Below are 19,292 nucleotides of genomic sequence, written 5' to 3' on the forward strand. Positions count from 1 at the left end.
TCTTCTGGGCTAACAGTGAATAGTTTGAACATGAATAGGTTGAATTAAGCTTTTGAATCAAATTATTACTAAAAATGATAATAATAATAATAGGCTATAGCACTTTTTGAATGCCAACTAGGAGCTCAACATGGAGCTCAGTACTTCTATATGATCTTCTTGGTTCTCACAAGCAGCGTGATTAATATTAATAGACTATTCTAAAGATAAGAAAATTGAGGCTCAGAGGTATTAAGTAATTTGTCTAAAATTTTAGAACTAGGAAGTAGCAAAGCTGAGCTTTGAACATGGATCCATCTGATGTGAAAGCCTGTGCTCATAAACATCATGTGAACTATAACCTGTTCGCCTGAATTGGAAGAGTCCTTCCTGGACTGGTGCGCAGATCTCTGAGCATCCCCACTGGAGTGCTCTCATGGTCCTGTGATATTCATGGCACATGAGAAAGCTTCCAACCCATCCATCTCCCCATTATGCCAGAGGCTGCATCCAGCTGCAATGAGGTCTGTAAGCTTGATGATGATGGTCAGACTGCTCATAGAGGGGGGAAGCAAGGTGAGGACCTGTTACATAAGGATGAGTGGGAGCAAAATGAACAGGAACATCTGAGGATAAAATAACAGAGTTGAAAGCATCCAGGCCTTAAAATGGCTCCTAATAGGGCTTTTCCTACTTCAAAAAGGACGGTCAGAGTATCTTGCCCAGTTGATTGTCCCTTTTGGGCCGAAAAGTCTAACACTTTTCAGAAAGAGTGTTAGGCTGCCCCTCAGGGAAGCCTGGGGAAGGCAAGCATCTGAACTGGCTTCCTTAAGGTTACACCTCATGAAGATTCCATTGTTCCTCAACTCCCCATATTTTAGACTACTTAAGTTGGAGAATTATTGAACATCTTGCAAAACCACAATTCATACAATGTTACAGGACAAGCAAAGTTAATGCAATAATAATAAGCTCAGCTCCCTCTTGATTTTTTTTTTTTTTTTTTTTTTGAGACAGAGTCTCACTCTGTCACCTAGGCTGGAATGCAGTGGCATGATCTCGACTCACTGAAACCTCCACCTCCTGGATTCAAGTGATTCTCCTGTCTCAGCCTCCCGAGTATCTGGGATTGGCTAATTATTGTATTTTTAGTAGAGACAGGGTTTCACCATGTTGGCCAGGCTGGTCTCTAAGTCCTGGCCTCATGATCCACCTGCCTCGGCCTCCCAAAGTGCTGGGATTACAGGCGAGAGCCACTGTGTCCAGCACCTCTTGAGTTTCAAGAAGATATAAGTAATTATGATAGATTAATATATTCTGCTGAGGACCCAAATAAAAACATGAAGGTTGGAAACTGAGGCAAGAATGCATCCCGTAGTTGTAGTCAGAAATCCTTCCTGTTGGTTTCTGCACAAAAAGTGCCTCTTTCAATTAACGTCCACATCAACAAAGCAGCAACTTTGTTGGGTTGGTTTTGTTGACATTAGTTTCAGTCACAAATGAAAATTCTTTGTTTTGTTCTAGTTGAAAACATATTATATCCCTATAGTTTCCAGAACTTTTTTTAATCAACAGAATGAAATTTTACAAAATTGTATTCTGACTTATCAATATGAATAAAACCAATGCTACATGTACCTGCACTATTGGATACAGGTCCTAAAGGAAGCAGCTGGATAAATTGTCCCATTTTAGTGCTCACATGATGAAACTGCCTGATACTTATCATTGGGATACTGCAGCATAACAACGAATAGAATGAGAAGACAGACAAAAGAGACTTTCCCAGTGTCAAGGTAACTGAATCAATATTTTCAGTTTGGTTCCCCTAATTGCCTAGGTTAGTACAGATAAAAGAGAAAAATATTAAGAAGCAATTAGGGAGAGTGAAATAAGCTATAAAGAAGATATACAGAAAAAATTTAAAGAAATCCAACATGATGTATAAATAAAATAGCCAAGACAATAAACATCATATAGTTCTCCTCAAAGAATCATGATTACTCTCATACCCACAATTATATGAGGAGGTGCTAGGTATTGGGTAGTAAAGACACACAAGAATAGTCCTGATCGATCCCATAAGCTCCTGGAATATATGCTGAGGACTTCAGCAACTTGGGAGTGCTCTAGGTGGTGCAATTATCCTCTGGCCATAATCCTTCATATTTACCCAAACGATTTGAAGACTTAGGTCCACACAAAAAGTTGCACATAGACGTTCGTAGCAGCTTTATTTAAAATTGCCAAAACTTGGAAGCAGGCAAGATGTCCTTAAGTCATGGTGGGTGGACAAATAAAGTGTGGTACATCCAGACAATGGAATGGTATTCAGAGCTAAAAAGAAATGAGCTGTTAAGCCATGAAAAGACAAGAAGGAAAGTTAAATGCATATTACTAAATGAAAGAGGCCAATGTGAAAAGACCACATACTGTGCTCTTCCAATTATAAGACATTCTGGAAAATTCAAAACTATGGAGACAGGAATAAGATCAGTGATTTCCAGGGGCTGGGGGAGAAGAAGGGATGAACAAGTGGAGCACAGAGGAATTTTAGGGCAGTGGAACTACTCTGTATGATACCATAATGATGGATACATGTCATTATACCTTGTCCAAACCCACAGAATGTACAACACCAAGAACCAAGAATGAGCACTAATATAAACTATGGACTCTGGATGACTATAATGCATCAATTTAGGTTCATAAATCATAACAACTGTACCACTGTGATGGAGGAAGTTGATAATGGGGGAAGCTATGCATGTGTGGGGGTTGGAGTATATGGAAAATCTCTTTACTTTCCCCTCAATTTTGCTGTGAACCTAAAACTATTCTTAAAAACTTAAGACTTAAATAGAGCAATCAACTGGGAATTAGTGAAGCCTGAAGGTTGTATGTGATATCAGCAAAGACAGATGCCTTAACAGAGAGGCCAGGGAAAGAGACAAAGATAAGGAAAAAAACAAATAGAAAAATGTCAGATATAAATACTACCTTCTTAGCATTTACATAAACTGTAAATGGAATAGACATACCAATTAAAGGGCAGATATGGGCTAAATAGATTTTTTAAATGTGATTCAACTGTATGCTGTCTACAAGAGCTTACTGCTGTCACATTAGATTAAAAGACCCAAATAGATTGAAAGGAAAAAGATGGAAAAAGGTAGACCACACAAATAGTAACAACAACAACAAAAAAAGAGCTGGAGTAACTATGCTAACATCAGACAAAACTGACCTTAAGACAAAAATTGTTTTTAGGGTCAAAGAAGGACATTTTATTATGATTTCATATAAATGAAATCAATAACAAATTCAGGGAGATAAATCAGCATCTACAGTTGCTAAAATACATTATCTAAAATTTCTAATTTTTTACAAAAATTATAAGATATGCAAAAAATAAAGGAAAGTGTGACCCCTGCTCTGGGGTAAAAACTGCCAATAGAAACTATCTGTGAGGGGAGCCTGGATGCTGAAGTTAGGAAAGACTTCAAAGCAGAATTTTAAATATGTTTAGAGAATTAAAGAATCATGCTTTAAAAATTGAAAAATGATAACAATGATGCATTAAGTAGAGAATATCACAAGGAAATAAAAATTATTTTTAAGACAACAGAATAGAAATTCTGGAATTGAACAATACAAGTGAAATAAAAAATTCACTTACATGAGGGACTCAATATAATATTTGAGATGACATAAAATTGAGATGACATAAAAATTACTCATCAAAAATTAAAATAGATCAATAGAAATTACTCAATCTGAAGAACATAGAAGAAAAAAGAATGAAGAAAAATGAATAAAGTGTCAAAACCTATGGGACGCAATCAAGCAAACCAACATGTCTGTAATAGGAATCCCAGAAAAGGAAGAGAATAATTTTTTTTAAAAAAAGAGAGAATAATATATGTGAAAAATAGTAACCAAAAACTATCCAAATACCCAAAATTAATTTCAAAATTAATCTAAAGATCTTAAAAGTTAAAACTTTCAAAAAACATACACGTAAGTAGGAGAAACACAAAAAGATCCACACCTAGATGCATAATAGTCACACTATTGAAAGACAAAGTAAAGCCTCAAAAGCAGTAACAGAAAAATGACTCAATGCGCATATAGGGGAAACAATGATTAACAGCTAATTTCTCATAAGAAGCAATGGAGACCCGAAGTCAGAATGACAGATTTGGACTGGTGAAAGAAAAAAAAACTATCAGGGATTCTATATAAGTGAAACAAAACTGTATTTTAAAAAGACAAAATAAAGGCATTCACACATAAACAAAGAGAGAATTTGTTTCCAAAAGATTTGCTTTACAAGATCTACTAAAGGAAATTCTTCAGGCTGACATCATGTGGCAACTTAAATCCATACAAAGAAGTAAAGAATTGTAGGAAAGATACACACAAACACACACACACACACACAAACTGACCCTCAAACATTGTGGGTTTTAGGGGCACCAGCCCCCTACAAAGTCGAAAATCCGTGTATAAATTTTGACTCCCCCAGATCTTAACTACTAACAGCCTACTATTGACTGGGAGCCTTACCAATAACATAAACAGTCAATTAACACATATTTCATTTTCTTTTGTTTTGATACATGGTCTTGCTCTGTCATCCAGGCTGGTGTGCAGTGGCACAATCGTGGCTCACTGCAGTCTCAACCTCCCAGGAGCATAGTGCTCCTCCCACATCAGCCTCCTGAGTAGCTGGGACTACAGGCATGCACCACCATGCCAGCTAATTTTTTAATATTTTTATAGAGATGAAGTCTCACTATGTTACCCAGGCTGGTCTCAAACTCCTGAAACATGTATTTTGTATGTTATATGTCTTATACACTGTATTCTTACAATAAAGTAAGCTACAGAAAAGAAAATGTTATTAAGACAATCATAAGAAACAAAAACTACATTTACAGTACTGTACTGTGTTTATCGATACCATAAGTTTACATCGTCTGTTTACAAGGTGAATCATCTGTCAGAAATAGTAGGCAACTGCAGCTGCAGACCGCAATCTATGGTACATATCAAGCAATCCAACTTTCTCCTGTAATGTTACGACCTTTCTCTGCTTCTTTAGAGCACTTCCAGCATCACTAATGGCACTTGCTATGGGTCCCATGTGTCATCCACGGTTTAAGCATTGCAGTAAACCAAGAAATACATGGGAATTGAGAGATCACTTTTTACTGCAATAGGCAATTTACTGAAGGGATTAACCACTCATGGAGATGATCAGCACCATATAGCATCTTAAGTAGATCCTCACTCACTGCAATGGCAACAGGAGGTGGCTGTGAAATTATTACAGTAGCACAGTATGTACCACAGTTAACTTTACACAGTTATGATTGAATCCTGCATCTTTACATTTGTTTACATTTCCCTTGGCTGTGAATGGTACCATGTACTGTCTGTGTTTGTGTAAGCTTTGATACATTTTAACTTTTTATAATAGATTTGTGTATATTTTATAGGAGTAAATAAGATAGACTAGTATCTACAAAAATTTTATGCATTCATGACATAGCTTTTGTGGTTTTTTGTTTGGGGTGTGTGTGTGTGTGTGTGTGTGTGTGTGTGTGTGTGTGTGTTTCTGTGTTTGTTTCTCCCATGTGCTTATTTTGGCCCCTGGCCACTCACAACCCACCATCATTTTTTTTTTAATAACTGGTTCAAAGGACAATTTTTTTAACTTTTAAGTCCAGGGGTACATGTGCAGGTTTATTATATAGGTAGACTCATGTCACAGGAGTTTGTTGTACAGATTATTTTGTCACCCAGGTATTAAGCCTAGCACCCATTACTTATTTTTCCTGATCCTCTCCCTCCTCCCACCTTTCATCCTCCAGTAGGCCCCAGTGTGTGTTGTTCCCCTCTTTGTGTCCATGTGTTCTCATCATTCAGCTCCCACTTATAAGTGAAAACATGTGGTATTTGGTTTTCTGTTCCTGTGTTAGTTTGCTAAAGGTAATGGCCTCTGGCTCCATCCATGTTTCTGCAAAAGATATTACCTCATTCTTTTTAATGGCTGCATAGTGTTCCATGGTGTATATGTTTATACATATACTTTACTTTATCCAGTCTACCACTTTATCCACTTTTCTTTATCCAGTCTACCACTGAAGGACATTTAGATCAATTCCATATCTTTGCTATGGTGAATAATGCTGCAATGAACACACATGTGCATATGTCTTTACAGTACAAGAATTTATATTCTTTTTTTATATATACCCAGTAATGGGATTTCCTGAGTCAAATGGCAATTCAGTTTTTTAGCTCTTTAGCTCTTTAAGGAATCACCACACTGCTTTCTACAATGGTTGAACTAATTTACACTCCTGCCAGCAGTGTATAAGTGATCTCTTTTCTCTGCAACTTCATTAGCATGTGTTATTTGTTGACTCTTTAATAATAGCTATATGACTGGTGTGAGATGGCATTGCATTGTAGTTTTGATATACATTTTTCTAATGATAGGTGATATTGAGCTTTTATCATACACTTATTGGCTGCGTGTATGTCTTCTTTTGAAAGCATTCATGTCCTTTGCTCACTTTTTAGTGCAGCTGTTTGGTTTCTTTTTCTTGTAAATTTGTTTAAGTTCCTTATAGACTTTGGTTCCTATTAGACCTTTGTCAGAGATGCATAATTTGCTAAATTTTTTTCCCATTCTGTAGATTGTTTACTCTGTTGATAGTTCCTTTTGCTGTGCAGAAGCTCTTTAGTTTAATAGATCCCATTTGTCAATTTTTGTTTTTGTTGCAATTGCTTTTGGCACCTTTGTCATAAAATCTTTTCCCGTGCCTATGTGCAGAATGGTATTGCCTAGATTGTCTTCCAGGGTTTTATAGTTTGGGGTTTACGTTTAAGTCTTTAATCCAACTTGAGTTGATTTTTGTATATGGTATAAGGAAGGGGTCCGATTTCAATCTTCTGCATGTGGGTAGCCAGTTCTCCCAGCACCATTTATTGAGTAGAGACTGCCTGCCCCACTGCTTGTTTTGGTCAGCTTTGTCGAAGATCAGATGGTCATAGGTGTACAGCCTTATTTCTGGGCTCTCTGTTCTGTTCCATTGGTCTATGTGACATACCTAACTTTGACTTAATTTTTTTCAATATTTCTAAGCTATGCAGTTCATCTGTGTTTTTTCAAATTATCACAAATCTCCAAAAAAAATTCCCATACATTTATTGAAAAAGATCTCCATATAAGTAGACCCATGCAGTTCAAATCCATGTTGTTCAAGGGTCAATTGTATGTCTTTTTTTTATCATTTTTCTTTTTTCTCTTAATATAAAATACATTGCACAAAATAATTGAAATGATAAAACTATTATATATGTTAGGCATATAACGTAGAAGTACAACATACGTGACCATCAAAGCACAAACAAGGGAGGACAAATGGAGCTCTACTGGAACACAATGTCTGTATTTTCCACGAGATAAGTTAGTATTAATCCAGCACAGATCATATTAAACTAAGATGTACAGTTTAACCCTTAGAGCAATCAATAATAAAATAACTCAAAAACACAGTTTTAAAAATAGAAACAAAGAAGAGAATTAGTATACAATAAAATGTAATTTAACACAGTAAGAAAGCAGTAAAAGATAAAGAGAGGAAAAAAGATATGAGATATAGTGAAAATAGCAAAGTAGCAGACGTGAAGCCAAGCGTATGAATAAGTATTAAATGGGGGTGGATTGAATATTTCAATTAAAATGTAGAAATTGTCAGGCTAGATTTTATCATTTTTAAAATGATAAGTCATGCAAACAGTAAACAAAAGTGGGCTGAAGTGGCTATACCAGTATCAGGCAAATAGACCCTAAGACAAAAACATTACCAGAGAAAAAGAGACATTTAGTAATGATAAAGTTCAATTCATTTGGATGATGTAATAATTATAAAAGTATATACACTTAACAACCGATCCTCAAGATACATGAAGCAAAAGCTGACATACTTGAAAGGAAAAATACCCAATCCAACAAAATAGTTGAAGACTGCAATACCCCACTCTCAATAACTGATAGAACAGTTTCACAGAATATCACTAATAATGTGCAAGAGACAAACAGAACTGTTAACAAGCAAGACAAATCTAACACTGATAGAATGCTCCACAAAACAGCAGCAGAATACACATCACAAGTAGAATATTCTCCAAGACAGATCAAATGCTAGACCGTAAAACAAGTCTTAATAAAATTAAAAGGACTGCAATTGTGCAATGTATGTCCTGTGACCACAACTGAATTAAATTAAAAGTCAAAAACATAAAGAAACATGGGCAATCCACAAATATTTGGAGCCTTCAAAACATACTTTGAAATAACCCATAAGTCAAAAAAAGAAATTATATGGAAAATTAGAAAATATTTCTAGCTTAATGAAAATGAAAGCACGTTACATGTTAAATTGAAGAAATGCAAAGAAGTGGTGCTGGGGGCATGGTTTGAGGAGTAGTATCTTTCTGTGTTAGTAAACCTTTCTGTTTGAGGAGGACACAAATTTATAAATGAAGTCTCAAGATTTTGTGAGTAATTTTGTAACAACAATTGTAATGGAAACAATACATATTACTGATGTAGTCTTTTCCGTGATAACGGAAATGTTACTCAAATATCACACAAAATGAAACAGATCATCAAGGTCACACTACCTCCTAAACTTGCTGTTATAAGTAATTTAGCTCCAAACTCAACTTATAGTAAATTATATTTTATAGAAAATGAAATTAGAATGAGTTTACAAACCACAAAGATAATTCAAGAAAAAAAACAAATACGCAGTGCTGTCAGAAATCTCTCAGTGGCTAAGGTAAAGCTGGTTAACTTAAAATAGTCCAATTACAACCTTCATTGTTTTCCACTTAGAGAATATAAGGAAAGATTAATAGATGTAGGCTTTCTTCATTCACCAAATAAAACATGAAATACAAAAATCAGGTAAAATGCCATATGGCAAAAGTTCTAAAATCTTACCTCCATCAGAACAAAGAGCGCTGCAAAAAACAGAAGGGTTGCCCATTCCACTCTGTGTAGAATTATCTCAAAATCATGAATATCAGCTAAAATTAGCAACCAGATGGCACCCAGAATAGCAATCCATCCTGAAAATAAGTAAATAGACATAGAGATATAGTTCCACTGTTAACACACCGATTCATTTCTTTAACCTCTGGTTGCCTTTTTCTTTATCAAGAATAATTGTCATACTACAAACCGCATATATGTAAAATGCATATAATTTCTATTTGGTTATGTGTATACTCATGAAACCAACACTGTAATCAAGATAATGAACATGCCCATTGACCCACAAGTTTATTCATGCCTATGTTCTTGTACCTCCTCTAGCTCCTCTTGTCAACCCCCACACTCCCAGTAAACCATTCATCTCTTTTCTTTCACTATAGATTGGCTTAAATTTTCTATAAATGCAGGTTTTCTGTAAATTGCACCATAGTTTTTTGTTGTTGTTGTTTTGGGGGCCTTTTTGAGACACAGTTTTGCTCTGTCACCCAGGCTGGGCTGCAGTTCAGCTCACTGCAACCTCCACCTCCCAGGCTCAAGCTGGGGAGCCTCAGCTTCCCAAGTAGCTGGGATTACAGTCATGCACCACCACACCCAGTTAACTTTTTCTATTTTTAGTAGAGATGAGGTTTCACTATGTTGACCAGGCTGGTCTCACACTCTTGCCCTCAAGTGATCCGCCCACCTCAGACTCCCAAACTGCTGGGATTACAGGCATAAGCCACCATGCCCCACCTGTTGTATTTTTTGTCTGACTGTTTCTCAATAGACAGATCATCCAGACAAAAAAATTAATATTCAGCATAATCATGTTAAGATCCTTCACTGTTGGCCGGGCCCGATGGCTCACGCCTGTAATCCCAGCACTTTGGCAGGCCCAGGCAGGCAGATCACCTGAGGTCAGGAGTTCGAGACCATCCTGACCAACATGGAGAAACCCCGTCTCTACTAAAAATACAAAATTAGCTGGATGTGGTAGCACATGCCTGTAATCCCAGCTACTTGGGAGGCTGAGGCAGGAGAATTGCTTGAACCTGGGAGGCAGAGGTTGTGGTGAGCCGAGATCACGCCATTGCACTCCAGCCTGGGCAATGAGAGCCAAACTCCATCTCAAAAACAAAAAAAAGATCCTTCGCTGTTGGTGTGTGAGTCAGTAGTTCATCTTTTTTAATGTGTAGTAGTATGCTAGTGTGTGGCTATATTACAATGTACATACCATTCACCTATTGATGGACACATGGATTGTTTCCAGTGTCTGGCTATTTCAAATAAACATGCTATGAACATTCATATACAAGTTTTTGTATGTACACATGCTTTCAGTTCTCTTGGCTAAATACCTAGGAATGAGATGGTTGGATATATGATAGCTTAATACTATGCAATGTTATATGCAACATTTATGCTTTAGGAAACTGCAAAACTATTTTCCAAAATAATTTTATCATTTTACAATCCCACCAGCAGTGGATGAGAATTCCAGTTCTTCCACATCTTCACCAACATTTGATCAGCCTTTCTGATTTTAGACATTCCAATGGTTGTGTAGTGGGATCTTACTGTGGTTTCCAATTGCATTTTTCTCATGACTAATGACTTTGAGCATCTTTTTTTTTTTTTTTTTTTTTTTTTGAGATGGAGTCTTACTCTGTGGCCCAGGCTGGAGTGCAGTGGTGCAATCTCAGCTCACTGCAACCTCCATCTCTCAGATTCAAGTGATGTTCCTGCCTCAGCCTCCCGAGTAGCTGGGATTACAAGTGTGCACCACCATGCCCAGCTAATTTTTGTATTTTCAGTAGAGATGGGGTTTCACCATGTTGGCCAGGCTGGTCACGAACTCCTGACCTCAAGTGATCCACCCACCTTGACTTCCCAAAGCGCTGGAATTACAGGCATGAGCCACCATGCCCAGCCAACACTGAGCATCTTTTACTTACTTGACATCCATATATCTTCTTTCATAAAGTTTTTGTTTAATTGTTCTGGTTATATTTTTCCTTACTGGTTAGAGCAAATGAAACCCAAAATAAGTAGAAGAAAAGAAATAATAAAGACTGGAGTAGAAATCAATGAAATAGAAAATGGAAAAAATGTTAGAGAAAAGCAATGATACCAAAACTGGCTTCTTTCAAAAGCTCAGTAAGATCAGTCAACTTTTAGCCAATCTGAATAGAGCAAGTGAGAAAACAAAATTTCCAGTATCAAGAAGAAGATCAGTGGCATGACTATAGATGCTATAGATATAAAAAGGTGTACTAGTTTTCAATTATATCATGATTTTCATAGGTCAGAGGATGCTGGTTCACAGCAGGATGTCTGCTTAGAGTCTCATGAAGTCACAGCCACAGTGTTGGCAGGGCTGCGTTCCTGTCTGGAGGCTCTAGGGGAGGATTTGTTTCTCTGCTCATTCAGGTGTTGACATAATCCAGTTCCCTGCAGCTGTAAGACTGAGGCCCCTGTTTCCTTACTGGCTGTCACCCAAAAGCTGTGCTGAGCTTCCAGAGGCACCCACATTCCCAGCCTCATGCCTCCATTCCTCCATCTTCAAAGTCAGCAATGTCCCTCTCACACTTCAAATCTCTCCTGCCTCTTCTTCTGTCACAGCTCTCTAACTGGCTCTTCTATCTTTCACTTTATTTTTAAGGGCCCTTATGATTACATTGGATCTACCTGGATAATCCAGAAAAATCTCCCTTTATGGAGGTTTATAACCTAAATCCACCTGCAAAGTTCCTTGGCTATGTAATATAACATATATGGCCATTAATATCAGGGACTACAGGGTGGACTCCTTTGAAGCAGAGAGGTATGTACGAATTAATTTGGGGAAAATTAACATTTTAACAATATAGGGGCTTCTGATCTATAAACACAATATATAGCTCCAATTATTTATGTCTTCTTTCATTTTTCCTAAGAATGTTTTGTATAAATCCCAGCACTCTTTTGTGTAGAAATTAACAAACTGATTCTAAAATTCACATAAGAATGCAAAGGACTAGAATAACCAATGCAACTTTTATAAAAAAATAAAAAAGAACAAGGTTTGAGAATATACTTTATCTCACCTCAAGATTTATTATAAAGCAACAACAATAAAAACAATGTGATATTGCATCAAAATAAATTGATCAATGGAGAATCCAAAAATATACCCATATATTTATGGTCAATTGATTTTTTTGCAAAGATTCAATGGTGGTTTAATACAGAAGGAGAAGTCTTTTCCACATATGGTGCTGGAACAGTTGGATATCCACATGCAAAAGAACTTTTACTTTGATCTGCTCACTAATCATATACGAAATTTAATACAAATGGATTATAGGTCTGAATGTAAAACACAACTATAAAACTTCTGGAAGAAAATATAGGAAAAAATCTCTGACCCTGAGTTAAAGGTTTTCTTAGACATAACAGTAAAAACATAATATATGAAAAGAAAAAAATCATATTAATTGGACTTTATCAAAATTATGAATTCCTGTTTTTCAAAGGGCACTGTTAAGTTAAAGTAGAGAAATGCCACAAACTGGGAGAAAATATTTCCAAATCATCTATCTGATAAAAGACTAATATCTAGAATATATATATATAAATTTTTAATTCTCAAATTCAACAAGTAAACAACACAATTCAAATGGGAAATATTTTAAACAGACACTTCAACAAAGAAGACATAAGATTGACAAATGATTACATGAAAAGATGGTCAAATATCACTAGCCATTAGGGAAACGTGGAGTAAAACCACAATGACATTTCACTATCTACCTTAGAATGTGTAAAATCAAAAACACTGACTAAAGTAAATGTTGACAAGGAGATGAAGGAACAGGAACTTTCAAGCACTGCTGGTGGGAGTGTAAAATGGTTCAACCATTCCGGAAAACAGCGTGGCAGTTTTTAAAAACATGATCCATACACCTACCAATATGAACCCACCATTCCACTTTCAAGTATTTACCCAAGAGAAATTAAAGCATAAGGTAACACAAAGAATTGAACACGATGTTTGCTGTAGTCTTAGTTTTGATGGTCAAGAACTGGAAACAATTCAAATATCCATCAACAGGTGAATGTGTGTACAAAAAGATGGTGTAATACTCAAACCATGGAATACTACTCAGTAATAACAGGAATGAATTATTGATGTATGCTACCACATGGATGAATCTCATAATAATTATGCTGAATGAAAGAAGCCAGACCAAATATACATATATACCATTTTTAATATAAAGTTCTAGAAAATTTAAATAGCAGGGTTTGACAAGCTATAGTCCATGGGTCAAATCTGACCCCCTGCTTGTTTCTATAAATATAATCTTATTGAAATACATCCACAGCCACCCATTTACATACTTTCTATGACTGCTTTACCACAACCCAGTCATTTAGTATTTGTGAGAGAGAGTGTCTGGCTAAAAAGCCTCAAGTATTTTCTATCTACTCTTTTATGGAAAAGCTTGCCAACTCTTAATCTACAGTGACAGAAAACAGGTCAGAGACTGCCTGAGGATGGAGGTGCTGGGAGGTCAGGAGTAAGCGAGTATCAAGAGGCTCAAGGAGCTCCTCAGTGTGGTGACTGAGCCAGGCTCTTCATCAGGGCAGGGGTCTGACACTTCATCTCTAAACACTCTGATTCCAACTCTAAGGTTCACTGAATTTTCTTAGAATATTTTTTGCTGTCTCCAGTAAACACTGTAGACAAGATGTGCTTAGAACACTAAAAGTTCAAAGAACTGGGGCATCATCAAATTAGCCAAACACGTTGCACAAACTGACATATGCCTGCTCACAACTAAATATGGATCTGATTGATAGTTATGTGTGTGACTTTCATTATAAGCACTACAGAGCTAGCCATCTCCCACTTTCAAGAGTTAGAGACTACAGTTAGGGTCCACCAAAAGATAAAGGAGTTCTCCAAGACCAGAGTGGATCAGGCCGGCTTGCAACTAGGAGAAACAGAATACTATTCAGTTTAAAAACAAAACAAAACAAAAAAAGTACTAAGATCTCAATTGTTTACGTATTTGAGGGGAAAAAAAAATCTCTTAAATAAGAATTACCTGGATGGATAACGTATCCTTTTAAACAGTTCTTGACAATTCTATACCTTGCATTTTATTTTATCTATTTATTTATTTATTTTTCTTTTTAATTTTTTTGAGATGGAGTTTTGCTCTTGTCGCCCAGGCTGGAGTGCAGTGGCACAATCTTGGCTCACTGCAACCTTTGCCTCCCAGGTTCAAGTGATTCTCCTGCCTCAGCCTCCTGAGTAGCTGGGATTACAGGTGCCTGCCACCACACCTGGCTAATTTTTTGTATTTTTAGCAGAGACGGGGTTTCACCATGTTGGCCAGGCTGGTCTCAAACTCCTGACCTCAGGTGATCCACCAGCCTCAGCCTCCCAAAGTGCTAGGATTACAGGCGTGAGCCACCACGCCCAGCCTGTACCTTGCATTTAAAAAAAAAAACAAAAATGATCTGTTCTTATTTTCTCAAATTATTTCTATTACTCTTACTCTACCTTCAAGGGCTTAAATATAGATTATTTTCTGGAAAACAATGACAGTTATTGAATACGATGTATAGAATTTGAAGAGGTATCCAAACTACCCTTTTGTCTCCTACGGTTCCTCCTGCTTTCCAAAGTATACCCACTTGTCTACTTTTGCAAGACCACTGTCTCACAATATCAGGAAACACTCCTGTTCATCTGGTCCTCACTGAATGTCCCCTAAATCCAAATTGTTCTGTATGCCACTTTTGGAAACCTGCTCTGTACCTGCCTCTGAGCTTAAGGGATACAGATGGGAATGTAAGCAAGGCACCACTTTGAATTCCAAGGGCCTCGCCGTCCAGTGGAGAACACATGTATGTAAATAACGTTATACTTAATGCAATACTATAGGTAGATGTGAACCACTGGAGAGCACCCAGAAAAAAATAACAATATATGGGGACTGAGAGAAGGTTCCACAAAGGAGGTGAACCCTGCTCCCTGGTTCAGGTAGAGAAGAGCAGCATTATTCACAAACTATTGTGAATGTCTGTTCTAACCTGGCTGGAGGGTAGCTGAGGCACTGAAGCAAGGCATTCATCTGTTTCACCTAAGGCAGAACTTAGGCCAGGAAAATGGCAGGCATTGTTCAAAATCACTGCAAGCCAAACCACAGATGCCTGGGGAAAAGACAAGCATGTAATGCGCCACCTGAGGAATAGGAGCAAAATCTGGGGAGAGTTTCTTTGTGAAACTGAGATATTCAAAAACAAACATGGGGCGGGGCAGGGCAGAGCTAGGGGGCGGTGGGGGCAGGCAGAGATAAGGAAAGCCACCTGCATGCCTAGGGAAAGGCCCATGCTCAGAAAAGACTGGAGAATTCCCAAAACTTTCAGCTTGTGCTGATGCCTAGTCTCAGTGCAAGCCTGGCTAAGTTTTGAAGGAGGGTTCTAGCACAGAGCCAATCTATAAAACAGGAAGAGGTATTTTTGTTGTGGTGGTTTGTTTGCTTTTAGCTCCTGGAATTCAAATCAATCTGTGTCAAAACACTAGCCGAACACAGTAAGCAATCACTAAGGAACAGAGATTCCAGTGACCATACATGACAAGGAATACAGTCTTTTCAAAAATAGTTTGGAAATGTCACAAAACAAACAAGACTACTACAGCCTTCGATTATAAAAAATAATAATAATAACCCCGGGGAAGGGAGTGAAACTGATTTCCAGATTTACCACAATATAATATTCAAATGTTCAGTGTTCAACCAAAAATAAATCACAAGGCATAGAAAAAAAAAACAGGCTAATGGAATAGAATATAGAGCCCCGAAATAAACACGTATGCTTATGGTCAAATGATCTTTGATGAGAATGCCAAGACTACTCAATCGCAGTCTGTTTAACAAATGGTGTTGAGGAAACTGGATATCTGCATGCAAAAGAATAAAGTTGGACCCTTATCTTACACCATATACAGAAACTAATTCAAAATCGATTAGAGACCTAAACATAAAGTCTAAAACTATAAAACTCCTAAAAGAAAACATGGAGGAAAATATTCAGTATATTGGACTTGGCAGTGATTTCTAGGCTATGACAGCAAAAGTGAAAAAAAGCAGAAATAAACAAATGTGATTACATTAAACAGACAGAAGGTAGATTAAGAGATTACCAGGGGTGGGCAGGGTGGGAGGTGAAATGGAGTCATTGCTTAATGATTATAGGGTTTCTTCTTGGGGTTAATGAAATGTTTTGGAGATAACGGTAATGGTGATTGTCACGCGTGTCCGTATGAAGAGACCACCAAACAGGCTTTGTGTGAGCAATAAAGCTTTTTAATCACCTGGGTGCAGGCGAGCTGAGTTCGAAAAGAGAGTCAGCGAAGGGAGTTAGGGATGGGGCAGTTTTATAGGACTGGGGTAAGCAGTGGAAAGTTACAGTTAAAGGGGGTTTTTCTCTTGCAGGCCAGGGCGGGAGTCACAACGTGCATGCTGGAGAGAACATAAGACTCATTGTCCAGAAGAAGAATGTCATGAGGTCGATGGATCCATCAGTTGGGACAGCGCAGGAACAAGTCATAGCGGAATGTTGTAAGGTTGGTCAATCAATTAAGACAAGAGCTGGCTGTTTCACTTCTTTTGTACTTTTCAGTTGCCTCAGGCTATCTGGTGCAGCCTTGTGCTCAGAGGCCTGACAGTGATGTAATTAATGCCACTGAGTTGTACAATTAAAAATAGTTAAAATGACAAGTTGTATGTGTTATATACATATCACATATGTATTTGATATATACATAACACATATATGTATATATCACATATGGATATATACATATCTATATACATATACATATCACATACTTTATATGCATACACAATTTTATGTGATATACATATATATCACACAAGCCTTGCCATTTTAACCATATATTTTTTTAAGCATATGATATATTATTTTTCTTACTACAACAGCAACATTTTAAAAAGGAAGATGGGGTTGGGAAGGACATTGTCATTTAGCATGTGAAGGGCAGACCATGTTTTATATCATGCAAAAATGTTGGGACCCCAGTCTTAGACAGGGAGAAGTCAATGAGATTTCTCAGCAAAGAGGCTGCAGTGGCCTAATTTCTACTTATGTTAGCTTTGTCTCCTAACCAGAATGTTACTTTTCTTTGAATTCTCCAGGGCACGTACCACACAGTTCAGAAGACAAACAGACACTTGCTTATCTGATCATCACATCTGATGGTGATTCCTTCACCGCTCCTCTAACACAGATCACCACATCTTTTCTTTAAATTCTCAGTAAGAAATAATTGCTCCAATTTCACTTCTCCTGGGTAAAGCTTTTTGACCCCAGAAATGGCATCCCTTGTTTTCTCTGCTATATAGCAATAAGAAGCTCTCTCTAAAAGTCAGTAAGAACACAAGTTCTTTTCCATGATTCTGAGAGAAATTTCAGTCATGACAAAAAGCTGGAAGGTCCTTTAGGGCTCTTTTTATAGTTCTGCTTTCTCTTATCAATTGTGGAGGCCTGAGCTTTCCTCCAGCCAAAACTCCTGCTATAGCACTCATCCATCCAACTTCAGAAAGTTTCCATAGTCACGGAGATTTGTCTTGTTAGAAAAATTCCCTGCAATAGCCTACAATCGAATGAAGACCTTGTCCCTGCAAAACCTCAATTCCCTCTTACTTTTAATCGCACTGCCTGCAGAGCCAGCGGCACTAATCAGGCTGCCGGTGCATAAGCTCGTCTGCTTGGTATTGCCTGGTCCTGCTCTGAGTCCAGACCACACTTTCCACTGCAGCCCCGGTCCCTGTGAGCAATGCTCCAGGCTGCTCTGCTCAGCACCGGCTCCTCAGGGACACTGACAAAGGGTGAGGCAGTGGTTCTTCCACAGTGTACTGGAAGCAAAAGCCACTGACGGAAACATCCCAGTTTCCAGCTTCACATTCTATTACAAATTCTAACAATGTGTCATTGAGACTCTTTTCCTAAAAATTAAAAATGCAGTTGAGTGGAGATGAATACAGATAAAAAGTACCATTTACGTGACCTGTCTTTATCCTGTGGAGCTTCTATCAAACGCTTTCCTCGAGTGGGCATTAATCTCTCACCAAGAGCTTTGCCATTTCTCAACTCAAAAAATCTGAGATAAGTGGCTCTGTACTTTCATTTGTGTCTCCAACAGAGTCAAGTTTCTATGCCGAACAAATAGCTAAAGGAGCCTCTTTTCCCTCATTCCTAAAGCCCTGGGCAACATGATTCAAAGGAAAGTAGGAAAGGGCTTTCACCAGTCCCCCAGCAGCCTCCTCCGCACAGGCATTTGCTGGGCATCTCTCAGCACCCCAGCCCAGGGGGAAACTGAGGCTCCCGAAGATGGACTGGTTTTCTCCAGGCTGCACAGCTTGCTGGGGTGAAGCCAGGATTCAATCCCCAGTCTGCAAGAATTTCCTTCCATGCTGCCACGTTATATTCCTCTGATATGCTCAGGCTTCTGATGGAATGATTTTGCTAATTATGAACAGATCTGGTTTATTTATTTCAAATCTCTTGTCACAGTGTGATTGGATGAATATACTGAGAAATGTAACTTAATTTTGTTCTATTTGAAACCTTGTCATCTTTTATAAAAGATATACTGTACAGTTCCTTGCCCTGGACATTGTGTAACTGACTTTGACCAAAGGCAGTACTGTCCTGATCAATTAAGATGAACTAACCTATGTACCTTGAGGCACACAGGATGCATCTCCAGAGAGTATCTCAACAGTTACTCATCTCATATTCATCCTTCCAAACAGGAAAACCCACAGATGGACTGTGCATACCATATACAGTACAAACCACCCTGCCTGCCACCCTTTCATGAAGTACTACATGAGTACTGGCCATCAACTGCCTGAAATAGACCAAGTAAGATCACAAATAATCAAGGACTTTCTGTTGCACAGCTACACTGTGGTTGTTCCTTGGGTAATTCTAGCTCTCTCACTTACCCAAGCACTCAACCTCCAGGGTGCAAACCCAGTGCTTCCTTGTGGGGAGCACCCACTCCACAGTTGGGTGGGTGAGTAGGACAGGGCACATGGGATGAGCTGGCTTAGAAAGTCAGAAGGAGCCGAGTGACCAGGGGGTTAAGGTCTATTATAGCACCATGCATCAGGCAGTTGCTATGGCAGCAGAAGGAGGGAGCACCTAACTACTTACTCAATTATCATGT

General features: G+C 38.0%; 1 protein-coding gene across 28 annotated transcripts in view, besides 1 other annotated feature; it reads right to left on the bottom strand.

Moving 5' to 3' along the window:
• OCA2 (OCA2 melanosomal transmembrane protein) overlaps window positions 1-19,292 on the bottom strand; it is a 380,308-nt gene that overhangs the window by 198,115 nt on the left and 162,901 nt on the right. For all 28 annotated transcript variants that reach the window (XM_047432619.1, XM_047432618.1, XM_047432609.1 and 25 more), the window contains one exon: window positions 9,005-9,132. In XM_047432619.1, the coding sequence (XP_047288575.1) occupies window positions 9,005-9,132 (128 nt within the window). The remainder of the gene's footprint in view (window positions 1-9,004; window positions 9,133-19,292) is intronic.
• Window positions 13,703-13,872: an enhancer, noted in NCBI's record as "experimental_39278 CRE fragment used in MPRA reporter constructs". NCBI's record gives its function as "activates a minimal promoter by MPRAs in K562 erythroleukemia cells, with activity observed for both the introgressed and non-introgressed 15:28176056 variant alleles {active_cell/tissue: K562}" and the evidence as "EXISTENCE:reporter gene assay evidence [ECO:0000049][PMID:34662402]".

The sequence above is a fragment of the Homo sapiens genome, chromosome 15 (genome assembly GCF_000001405.40).
Source record: "Homo sapiens chromosome 15, GRCh38.p14 Primary Assembly".
In the NCBI taxonomy this organism is placed as follows: domain Eukaryota; kingdom Metazoa; phylum Chordata; class Mammalia; order Primates; family Hominidae; genus Homo; species Homo sapiens.